This window comes from Homo sapiens, chromosome 1 (genome assembly GCF_000001405.40).
Source record: "Homo sapiens chromosome 1, GRCh38.p14 Primary Assembly".
NCBI classification, from domain to species: Eukaryota; Metazoa; Chordata; class Mammalia; order Primates; family Hominidae; genus Homo; species Homo sapiens.
Window position 1 is genome coordinate 15,426,222 of NC_000001.11, and position 10,989 is coordinate 15,437,210.

The window sequence follows — 10,989 nt, forward strand, 5'->3', positions numbered from 1 at the left end:
GGGAGGAAGAGGAGGGAGGGACAGCCCTTCCTTCACATAGGGAGCATATATTGAGCGATTTCTGTATACTTGACCCTGTGCAGGCTCTGGGGTAGAGAAAGGCCCTGTGCTCGAAGGTTCCTGGAAGTGTAGAGGGGGAGACACCACAGAAGGAAATCAGGGCTGTGATGCAGAGGAAGAGGGCCACGGCACTGGGTGACTTCACGCCCAGGATCTCACTCCGAGACAGGAGCTAGGGGCAAGCCGGTTTCGCAGGGAAGGAAATGGAGGCCCAAGCCAGACAGCGATGATACTGGACCCCAGGAAGTACAGGGATGGACCCCAGGAAGCACAGGGTTAGGTGTGGGGACTCGAGGCCCAACTGGGGCCCAGGAGGTCTGGCAGGAAGCATGAAGGATGCAGGGAAGGAGAGAGGTGGCAGGGGCAGGTGGGGGAGTGCGAGTGGCTGGGCGGGAGGTGTGGGCAGTGCAGGGTAACAGCTTAGAGTTCGAGAGCAGGGTTCCATCCCTCTGACACGTTCAGGCGCTGAGACTTGGGGTGTCTTTTACTGTCATGGAGGCTCCCTCATTCTGTCATGACACCTGTAGGACTCAATACATGGAACGCAGAGTAGGTTCACTGGGCAACAGCGGGAGACAGAGGTAAGAGGTAGGCTGAGGCCGTGTCGTCGGGAGCTGGTGTGGGCGGGTCAGGGCTGCAGTAGGCCAGCATCCTGGGTGGCAGATGAGTCATATCTCCTCCCATTGTACAGTTGGGCAGAGGCCCAGTGAAGGGGCTCACGGGAGCAGCAAGGGGCGAGACCCAGCTCACTGCCCCCCAGTCCTTCTCTGCAGGGGAGGCCTGAGGCTGGGGCCTGGGTGCGGCCAGGGACTCCGGCTCCCCTCCTTCCCTCCCTTCCTGACACCGCGCGCCTCCCTCCCCGCTGCAGTTCCTCCTGATCTTCCGCAAGGCGGCGGCCGGGGAGCTTCAGGAGGACAGCGGGCTGTGCGTGCTGGCCCGCCTCTCTGAGATCGACGTCTCCAGTGAGGGTGTCAAGGGGGCCAAGAGCTTCTTTGAGGCCAAGGTGAGGAGCCCAAGGGGTGCCCTGACCCACGCTCCAGGACAAGGGGACCCTGGGTTGGTGCGAAGTTAATAGGTCCCCTTCCCGTCCCTGCTGAGGCTGCAGACAGAGATGGGAGCTGACTCCCTGCCAGGCTGGGCCAGGCCCACACGCTCTGTCTTCTGTCTTCTCCCACTCCTGGCTGAGATCCTTGGCAGCCGCCAAGGGGGTGGGTGAGGGGGGTGTACTCTTGAAAAGGGGACAGGGATTACCTTGAGGTGCCCTGGCCCTGGCACACAGAGCTGCTAACACAGAGGACTGGGCCTTAGGAGGGCAGGCCCAGAAACACAGCACTGGCTCTCCAGGGTCCCCGGTAGACACCAATCCCACCAGCCCCAGCCTAGGAGGAAGCCTGCGGGCTCAGAGACCACCTGCATGCATGACACCCTCCCCTTTCAGCAGGTTCTCAGATGGAGGAGACACCTGTGATCTAGTGGCTCCTGGGTCCTGCCCACCCGGGGCCCCAGCTCTCCCGCCTTGTTTCTCTCTTTCCTTGCTAAGAACATTCCTTCCAGAGACTGCCTCCCACCACCCTCTGGGCTTCGGAGCATTGGTGGAACTTTTCAGGGTTCATCAGTGGAACTGGGTGTGCCGCTGGGCTCCCCGGACAGGAAGCAGAGGATCAGGATGGCAGCAGCTTGAGCGACTCCCTTCGAGCGCCCTTGCTTTGCAGCAGCCACAGAATATAGGTTCTCTATTTCAATCCTCTCAACAACTCCCTAAGATCAGAGTTATTGGGTGCCAGGTTCTAAGTGAGGAAACTGAGGCTCAGGAAGGTGAATGAAGTGCCTGACCCAGGGCCAGAGCTGGTGAGGTCAAGCTGTTTGTGTTGCTGGGCAGGACTCAGCAGAAGCCTGAGCCAGAAGGGACCCCAGGAAAAGCAGTCATAAGGCCGGGCGCAGTGGCTCACACCTGTCATCCCAGCACTTTGGGAGGCTGAGGCGGGTGGATCACCTGAGGTCAGGAGTTCGAGATCAGCTAACATGGCCAACATGGTGAAACCCCATCTCTACTAAAAACACCAAAATTAGCCGGGCATGGTGGAGGGCACCCATAATCCCAGCTACTCAAGAGGCTGAGGCAGGAGAATTGCTTGAACCTGGAAGGCAGAGGTTGCAGTGAGCCAAGATTGCGCCATCGCACTCCAGCCTGGGCGACAGAGCGAGACTTTGTCTCAGAAAAATTAAAGAAAAAAGAAAAAGCAGCTGTAGCACAGAGAACCCCCAACATACACCATCCAGCCCTGACCCCCTCACCCCCATGCCCCCGCAGGTCCAGGCCATCAACGTGTCCAGCCGCTTCGAGGAGGAGATCAAGGCAGAGCAGGAGGAAAGGAAGAAGCAGGCGGAGGAGATGAAGCAGCGGAAAGCGGCCTTCAAGGAGCTGCAGTCCACCTTTAAGTAGCGGGGGCTGCAGCCGACCGCCCTGCTCCGGCCCCAGTGTGGTGGGCGAGGGTGGCGCATGGGAGGCCGAGCCTGAATCCTTGCCTGTGTCTGACGGGACCACTACTAAAAACCTAAAAATATCTGTGAATGGAGCAAGTTCAGGGGTCTTATGGAGGTGGCCCGGCCCCTCCCCGCTCCCTTCCACTCTGCACGAGGCCGCCACACCGGCGCTGGCTCCCTGCCCGGCCCGGCCCTCCCTGGCAATCCCTGGGCTCTCTTGCACCCCTAACTGCCCCCTGCCTGCTCCGGCACTGCCCCAGGCCCAGCTCCTGGCCCTAGGTCCCTCCCAGCCCCATGTGCCTGCCGCCTGCCCTCCACACATCCCTGTCCCCCCAACCCGGGAACCCCTGCCCTCCTCCAGCAGGCCGCACCGCCCCTGGGGCCCCCTGCCAGCCCCTTCCCAGGCTGGGAGACGGCAGAAGAGATAGAATCAGGGCTGCCCCCACAGAGTGGGACCCAAGGGGCTAATTGGAGGCACGAGGGGACCCCTCCCCAGGGCCTTTTCCTCCTCTGCGTCTTCCATCTACTGAAATGGGAGAGGGGGTGGGGAGCTTCTGTTCTGGTGAAGGGACCCGGGCAGGCCCCCAGCACCCCATGCTGACTTGGAGAACCCCAGATCTCTGGGGCCCAGCCAGGCAGGGTGTGGGGGCAGCTGTGCCAATCTACCTCACAGGCCCACCCCCTGCCGGGCATGCCGTGGGATCATGGGCAGGGAAGGCTCTGGGGGTCGGAGACACCGCTGCTTAGCACCCCCAGCCAGAACACCCTGAGGGTCTCGGGGCTCTGGAGAGAGTGGGGCGGGAGGAAGAATTGGCACCTTCCTAGGGAAGGAGACGAGCGCTTCGCCTTGATTCTCCGAGAAGCCTCCGAGAAGTGCTTTAAGTGTGTTTGCATGCGCCAGGCGGTGGGCAGCGGGGGCCTGTCCAGCCCTCTCCCGCCATCCTTCCCCAAGTGACGTCCACTGCCTTGTCACCAGCGACCTGCCTGTCATGCCCACCCCCTGAGGAAGCATGGGGACCCTAACACCCTGGTGCCCTGCACCAGACAGGCCGTGGTCAGGCCCAGGCCACCGGCCGGGTTCTGCCACAGCTTCCCACGTGCTTGCTGACATGCGTGTGCCTGTGTGTGGTGTCTGTTGCTGTGTCGTGAAACTGTGACCATCACTCAGTCCAAACAAGTGAGTGGCCCTCGAGGCCACAGTTATGCAACTTTCAGTGTGTGTCATAACGACGTCACTGCTTTTTAAACTCGATAACTCTTTATTTTAGTAAAATGCCCAGGAGTCCTGGAAGCTACGCGGACTTGCAGAGGTTTTATTTTTTGGCCTTAGAATCTGCAGAAATTAGGAGGCACCGAGCCCAGCGCAGCAGCCTCGGACCCGGATTGCGTTTGCCTTAGCGGATATGTTTATACAGATGAATATAAAATGTTTTTTTCTTTGGGCTTTTTGCTTCTTTTTTCCCCCCCTTCTCACCTTCCCTTCTCCCCGACCCCACCCCCCAAAAAAGCTACTTCTTCATTCCGTGGTACGATTATTTTTTTTAACTAAAGGAAGATAAAATTCTATATTCTTATGTGTGTATGGTTCTTGATGGTGAGTGGGCAGGGAAATGACAAGGTCACCTGGGTGTGGGGACAGTGGTGTCAGAGCCTGGGAGGGAAGGGGACCTGCCCTAGTGGAGGAGGTTGGTGTTTTATGCCCAGATGCTGTCACCAGGCATGAGTCTAGGTGCTTTGTGCCTATTAACTCATTTAAATCCTTGCAACCAGCCCATGCAAGGGATGATATTTTTATTCCTCTTTTGCAGATAAGAACAGGGAGGCGGCTGGGCGTGGTGGCTCACACCTGTAATCCCAGCACTTCGGTCGGCCGAGGCGGGTGGATCACCTGAGGTCAGGAGTTCGAGACCAGCCTGGCCAACATGGTGGAACCTCGTCTCTACCAAAAATATAAAAATTAGCCGGGCGTGGTGGCACACGCCTGTAATCCCAGCTACTCGGGAGGCTGAGGCAGGAGAATTGCTTGAACCCAGGAGGCGGAGGTTGCAGTGAGCCAAGATTGCGCCACCGCACTCCAGCCTGGGTGACAAAGAGAGATTCTGCCTCAAAAAACAAAACAAAACAAAACAAAAAAACAGGCCTGGAAAGTCTCCCAGAGACACACAGGCGAGTGGGGCGGCAAGAGGCAGGGCCCAGGCTGTCGAGGTCATGGCTCGCAAACCTGCCAGGTGAGCAGAGAGGAGGGGCTGCCTCTCCACAAGGCCACACAGTGGCCGGCAGTGGCATTAAGGCCCTGGGAGTTATGGCTTGTGCACCCCAGAGACCCCCAAGCACCCCTGCCATGGAGACACCCAAAGTCTTTCACAGGCTGGAAAACCCCAGGAGTGATGGGGCGGACACCAGCGGCTGTCTGTGTGTGGCTTTAGACAGATCAGGCCCCCACTGGGTCTCAGTCTCCCCATCTATTCCATGCGAGGGTGGGCGAGGGTCTGGGGTCTTCCCAGGCAGGGTGTGGGAGCTGGAGTTTGGATTAGGCAGGGCATCGCTGCCCCCAGGTGGCCAGGGATGGTACTACAGCAACCGGGATGCCTGGGGAAGGCAGTGTCATCCCCACATGCTACCCAGGGCCTGAGACGCCACTGTACGCCACCACCAACTTGAGACTTTCAGTTCCACACTGCCTTTCAAAACCCCTTCCCCAAGAGAGGAACATCCACATCCCTGATATCCTGCTGGAAAGGGCTTCGGGGAGAAGGGACGGGGACGCTGAAAGAGGGCATGGTGGCTCACACCTGTAATCCCAGCACGTTGGGAGGCCGAGGTAGAAGGATCACTTGAAGCCAGGAATTCAAGACCAGTCTGGGCAACATAGTGAGACCCGATCTCTACAAAATATAATAACAAATCATACTGAAAAGGAAGCTCCTGATGGTGATGGCAGTGGGCCTCGAGTCCTTGGACCATGAGAGACCAGGGCCAGCTGTGTCATGCCAGGGCCCTCCACCAAGGGTCTCAGCCTGTCAGGAGCCCCCAGCCTGGGTCTGCACAAGACCCCCACTCCCAGCTCTGGCAGAGAAAGCAGGTTGAGGAGGGAAGGGACCTGGAGTGATCCTAGGACCAAGAGAGAGGGCTCCTTAAAACCCTCCCAGGGCTGGACACAGTGTCCCATGCCTATAATTCCAGCAATTTGGGAGGCCGAGGCAGGAGGATCACTTGAGTCCAGTAGTTCAAGACTAGCCTGGGCAACATAGCGAGACCTCGTCTCTAGAAAAAAAATTAAAACTAGCTGGGCAGCTACTCAGGAAGCTCAGGAGGAGGATCACTTAAGCCCAGGAGTTCAAGGCTGCAGTGAGCTATGATTGTGCCACTGCACTCCAGCCTGAGTGACAGAGCAAGACGCTGTCGCTTAAAAGAAACAAAACAAACAAACAAACAAACAAAAACAACTCCCAGGTTCCCTCCTCTCATTAAGCCTCCTTGCACTGAGTCCCAGCTCCAAATCCCCATGGAACCCCCAGCCCCTCTCTCTGAACTGTTAACCCCTCGCTGAACGCCAACCCCGCATTGGGCCCCACAACCCTCTCTAACCCCCAGTGCTTCCATCTGGCTTGGAGGCGAAGCCCTGCCAGCCCCTCAGCTGGCCCCTTAGTGGGCCTCACCCAAGACGTAACAGCTGCCGCCCGAGAGTCCTGTCCCAGCGGCCAGAAAATCCCAGCCCTGTCAGTGACACCTGCCTCTTTTCTCAAGCTCTTATCCCGCCCCACCCCCACCTTGGCATTGCTCCTCCTGAGGCCCAGAGCACCACCTGACCACCACCCCTTTCCACGTGCCTCTGCCAAGTCGCCCCTGGTTATTTTTCCAGCACAGTCTGGCCCCAAGTGGCTCAAGGACTTTGAGGTCCTGGGTCCTGGGAGACACACTCCACCTCCTGAAAAATCCCAGGGTCCAGCAATGGGGCAGGGGGCGGATTCTGGCATTCTCTCACCCTCGAGGCCTCAGATTCATCTGGACATGGACTCTGTACGGAAGGAATCCTTTCCCTGCCTGCCCCCATCAGGCTCCCACCAGAACCAGTCTCTTCTCATGCAGAACTCCACGCCCTTGGCCCATCTCTCCAAGGGAGACTATCTCCAAGGAACACTCCCCATGTCCAGCAGGGAGCTCCCCATGGCTGAACGGGTCTTATTATCTCTATACCCAATCCTATCATGGGGCCTGCACACAGTAGTTGCTCCGTGAATGTGGGAGGAATGAATGAGTGAATGAATAAGTGAGTGAATGAATGTTTTCTGTGTATGTTATGTTTCTGTGTATGACATATGGTATGTCAGTGACTCACAGCCTGGGCAAACAAAACAGTCACTTCTTTAAATATGCAAGTTAGGTCAGGCGGGGTGGCTCATGCCTATAATCTCAGCACTTTGGGAGGCCGAGGTGGACGGATCACTTGAGGTCAGGAGTTCGAGACCAGCCTGGCCAACATGGTGAAACCCTGTCTCTACTAAAAATACAAAAATTAGCCGGGCATGGTGGCTCGTGCCTGTACCCCCAGCTACTCAGGAGGCTGAGGCACAAGAATCACTTAAACTCAGAAAGCAGAGATTGCAGTGAGCCGAGATTGTGCCATTGTATTCCAGCCTGGACGACAGAGTAAGAGTCTGCCTCAATGAATAAATAAATATGCAAGTTAATCCAACTTCAAGCCCTGACCCCTCCCATCGCAGAAATCCACCCTCCCAGGGCTTCCGTCAGCCGATATCCATAGGCCCCCTCTGGGGTACTTCTTCAGTCTCGGTGATCAAGGCCAGAAAATCAGGTCAGCCAACCCAGCGTCACCACCATAACTTAGGCAGTTTGAGCCACTGGGATCATGGTGTCGCCTGACTGGCTGCTCCCTGCACCAGGCCTGGAGTCAGGAGGGGCTGGTGCCAGCCATGCACGTGCCCAGAGGCAGCTCCTACGCCTGTCCACCTTTTCCAGCAAGAACAAATTTCTCCTGGCTGCCCTGGGACAAAGCTAAAGGCACCTCCAGGGCCTGGAGAGGGTGCTCAGGGAGAGCCATAGACCATTCCCCAAACTCTCTCTGTCTCAGCCCTTGGGTCGTCTAGAACCTCACGGAAGGAGGGGCCACAGGGCCTGGAGCCCATGACACCTTTAGAGGCCCACAAAATGTTTTGATTTTTTTAAAATCAGTAAGAAAAAAAATGAAAAGGATCCAAACTGGATTATATTCAGTGTTATCACCATACAATAAAACATAATTTTTATTATTTTTTTTAAGGAAACATAATTTTTCATTTTTTTATGTTTTATTTTTTGGAGTTGGGGTCTCTCTATGTCACCCAGGCTAGAATGCAGTAGCATGATCATAGCTTACTGCAGCCTCAAATTCCTGGCCTCAAGTAGTCCTCCCACCTCAGCCTCTAGAGTATCTGGGACTACAGGCATGTGCCACCACACCCAGGTAATTTTTTAAATTCTTTTAGAGTCAGGGGTCTCGCCATGTTGCCCAGGCTGGTCTTGAACTCTTGGCCTCAAGGGATCCTCTCACCTCAGCCTCCTGAGTAGCTGGGATTACAGGCACGAGCCACCATGCCCAGCCAGTTTTTAATATTTTTTAAATGGAGAAAGGGGCCCATGAAGGCAAAAGTACTCAGTGACCAAGTCCAGTCTCAAGCTTTCTCATAAGAACCAGATAACAACAATAATAATAGTAATAGCAAACATTTAGACCGTCCTTGCCATATGCCAGGCACTTCTTCCAACAGCCCTAGGAGGGAGGTACCATTTTCTTTCTTTTTCTTTTTATTTTTTTGAGACGGAGTCTTGCTCAGTCACCCAGGCTGGAGTGCAATGGCACGACCTCGGCTCACTGCAACCTCCGCCTCCCGGGTTCAGGCAATTCTCCTGCCTCAGCCTCCCGAGTAGCTGGGATTATAGGCACCCACCATCATGCCCGGCTAATTTTTGTATTTTTGTACAGACAGGGTTTCACCATGTTGGCCAGGCTGGTCTTGAACTCCCGACCTCAGGTGATCTGCCCACCTCAGCCTCCCAGAGTGCTGGGATTACAGGCATGAGCCACCGTGCCCGGCCAAAGGTACCGTTTTCACTCTCACTTTATAAACGAGGAAGCACAGAGAGGTTGCGTCACAAGCATAAGGCCATAGAGCTATGAAGCAATAGTGGTGGGTTTAGTTCAACCCTAAGCAAAGCACTCAACATCCTGTCTTCAGCATCTGAAACAGATTAAGGGCGACCTCGGTTTTCTCCAGGGACAATTGTTTGGTGCTGCCTTACATAAAAGGTCCCTCCCTGTAGATGTCTCAAAACAAGCAAGTTTCCCTATAGCTGAGCAGCCAGCAACCTCCCTCCAAAAAGGTCAGTTTCTCTGTGAACCTTCAAAGAGCTGACAATAACTCTCTTCACCTGGGACCTCATCATCAATCCATTTGGCTATTTCTATGTTTGTGTACATGTTTGAATGGGTGGCCCATGGCTCTGCTTGGCTCTACACATAACCGAATGCTTTATATGTATTATATCATTGGTGTGTGCATATTTGTGGACGTGGAGGAGCGTGTGTGTGCATGTGTGTGTGTGCGTGTGTGCATGTGTGCATATGTGTGTGTATGTTTGTGTGTGCATGTGTGCGCGTGGGTGTGTGCATTGTGTGCATGTGTGTGTGCGTGTGTGTCCATGTGTTTGTGTGCGTGTGTGCATGTGTGCATGTGTGTGCATGTGTGTGTGCATGTGTGTGTGCGTGTGTGTGTATGTGCGTGTGTGCGTCGCCTGTCCACGTATACTTGTGAATCCATGGGCATGTATACACAGCTGAGATGCGTGCTAACAAGTTGCTGTATCTCTGAGTATAAATTGATGAGCTCCTACAAGGAGACGCCCAGTTAATTCATTTTCCCAAGTTGATCAAGGGACATGAGAGAAACTGAGGCTCAAAGAGGTTGCTCAGGGTCTGGGTCATCCATTCTGTCACTGAGATGGAAACCAGGTGTCCTGTCTCCCCGCTTCAGACCCTGCTAATTTCCAAGACCTATCACCTAGCTCAAGCCATATCTCTGCTTATGTTCCCAGTTTCCAGGCTAGAATGACCCTTTGCAAGGCTTGGCAACCAAAAGCCCTGGGTCTGAAGCAGACTGGCCAGTAGCCACTGATAAACCTGTATCATGCACAACCAACCTCCAAAATGAAACAGAAAATTCCCCGCAGGCTGAAGTCCCCAGACACCCCAGGACTGAGGCCTTGATGTCACCATAGCTGAGCAGAGCCCCCAGTGCACATTCCCACTTTTATCTTTCTTAAAAAATTAAACCTATTGATTTTTATACTACCAAGGTAACTATGTTTGTTTTAAAAAAGAATTTAAGCTGCATAAAAATGTGTAGTTAGAGGCCAGGCATGGTGGCTCACACCTGTAATCCTAGCACTTTGGGAGGCCTATGTGAGTGGATCACTTGAGGTCAGGAGTTCGAGACCAGCCTGGCCAACGTGGTGAAACCCCGTCTCTACAAAAGGAACAAAAATTAGCCAGTGGCACTGGTCCCGGCTACTCAGGAGACTAAGTAAGGTAGGAGAATTGCTTGAACCTGGGAGGCAGAGGTTGCAGTGAGCCAAGATCGCACCACTGCACTCCAGCCTGGGCGACAGAGCGAGACTCCAACTCCATCTCAAAAAATAAATAAATAAATAAACAAACCAGCCTGGCCAACATGGTGAAATCCGGTCTCCACTAAAAATACAAAAATTAGCCGGGCATGGTGGTGGACATCTATAATCCCAGCTACTCGCGAGGCTGAGGAAGCAGAATTGCTTGAACCCAGGGGTGGAGGTTGCAGTGAGCTGAGATCGCACCACTGCACTCCAGCCTGGGCCACAGAGCAAGACTCTCAAAAAAAAAAAGTGTAAGTTAGAATCCTCCTTCACCCCCAGATCACCGCTATGAATGGCGGGGTGCGTAGTGCTCTGAACTTTTCTATCAGGAAGGAATTCCTAAGGTGGCCAGTAGGCCCAGCTCAGAAAATGACCTTCAAGGGGAGCTCAGTATGAGTAGAGGGGAAACGAAAGACAGAATCTAACCAACCAGGCTGAGGCCAGGCCTTGGGGCGAATGGATCAAACCACATGTTCCAAGGGATGGCCAACCCCGAATGCCGGAGGCTCTGGTAGAATTTCTGCTACTCAGTGCTTTGGGCCCTCAGATCTGCCACTGACCTTGACATTCAAGTTACAGAATTGTAGAACTGAAAGGAGCCTGAAAGTCCATCTGGTCCTTTTGCCCATTTTAGAGATGGGGAAACTGAGGACCTACAACTAAGCTGACTCCAGGAAGGAATCTGGCCAACTAAGCACCTTCCAGAGCCTGCTGCATCCCTGCCTCCAACCACAGCCCTGGAGGCAGGTGCAGGAGTGCATCAAGCCCAGGCAATTA

General features: G+C 54.7%; 1 protein-coding gene across 3 annotated transcripts in view, besides 4 other annotated features; it reads left to right on the top strand.

Annotated features, from left to right (window-relative positions):
• Positions 1-739: part of an enhancer, noted in NCBI's record as "H3K4me1 hESC enhancer chr1:15752556-15753456 (GRCh37/hg19 assembly coordinates)", that runs on past the window's edge. NCBI's record gives its function as "activates a minimal SCP1, AML or CMV promoter by ChIP-STARR-seq in naive H9 embryonic stem cells {active_cell/tissue: H9 hESC(naive)}" and the evidence as "EXISTENCE:reporter gene assay evidence [ECO:0000049][PMID:30033119]".
• Positions 1-4,118, top strand: part of EFHD2 (EF-hand domain family member D2) — a 20,452-nt gene extending 16,334 nt beyond the window's left edge. The window contains exons 3-4 of one of the 3 annotated variants that reach the window (NM_024329.6): positions 929-1,063; positions 2,372-4,118. In NM_024329.6, the coding sequence (NP_077305.2) occupies positions 929-1,063; positions 2,372-2,503 (267 nt within the window). In that variant the 3' untranslated portion in view covers positions 2,504-4,118. Of the gene's footprint in view, positions 1-83; positions 430-928; positions 1,064-2,371 lie in introns of those variants that run through there. The other 2 variants (XM_005246000.4, XM_047430233.1) reach the window with 2 other exon arrangements.
• Positions 740-1,638: an enhancer, noted in NCBI's record as "H3K4me1 hESC enhancer chr1:15753457-15754355 (GRCh37/hg19 assembly coordinates)". NCBI's record gives its function as "activates a minimal SCP1, AML or CMV promoter by ChIP-STARR-seq in naive H9 embryonic stem cells {active_cell/tissue: H9 hESC(naive)}" and the evidence as "EXISTENCE:reporter gene assay evidence [ECO:0000049][PMID:30033119]".
• Positions 4,291-4,791: an enhancer, noted in NCBI's record as "H3K4me1 hESC enhancer chr1:15757008-15757508 (GRCh37/hg19 assembly coordinates)". NCBI's record gives its function as "activates a minimal SCP1, AML or CMV promoter by ChIP-STARR-seq in primed H9 embryonic stem cells {active_cell/tissue: H9 hESC(primed)}" and the evidence as "EXISTENCE:reporter gene assay evidence [ECO:0000049][PMID:30033119]".
• Positions 7,452-7,951: an enhancer, noted in NCBI's record as "H3K4me1 hESC enhancer chr1:15760169-15760668 (GRCh37/hg19 assembly coordinates)". NCBI's record gives its function as "activates a minimal SCP1, AML or CMV promoter by ChIP-STARR-seq in naive H9 embryonic stem cells {active_cell/tissue: H9 hESC(naive)}" and the evidence as "EXISTENCE:reporter gene assay evidence [ECO:0000049][PMID:30033119]".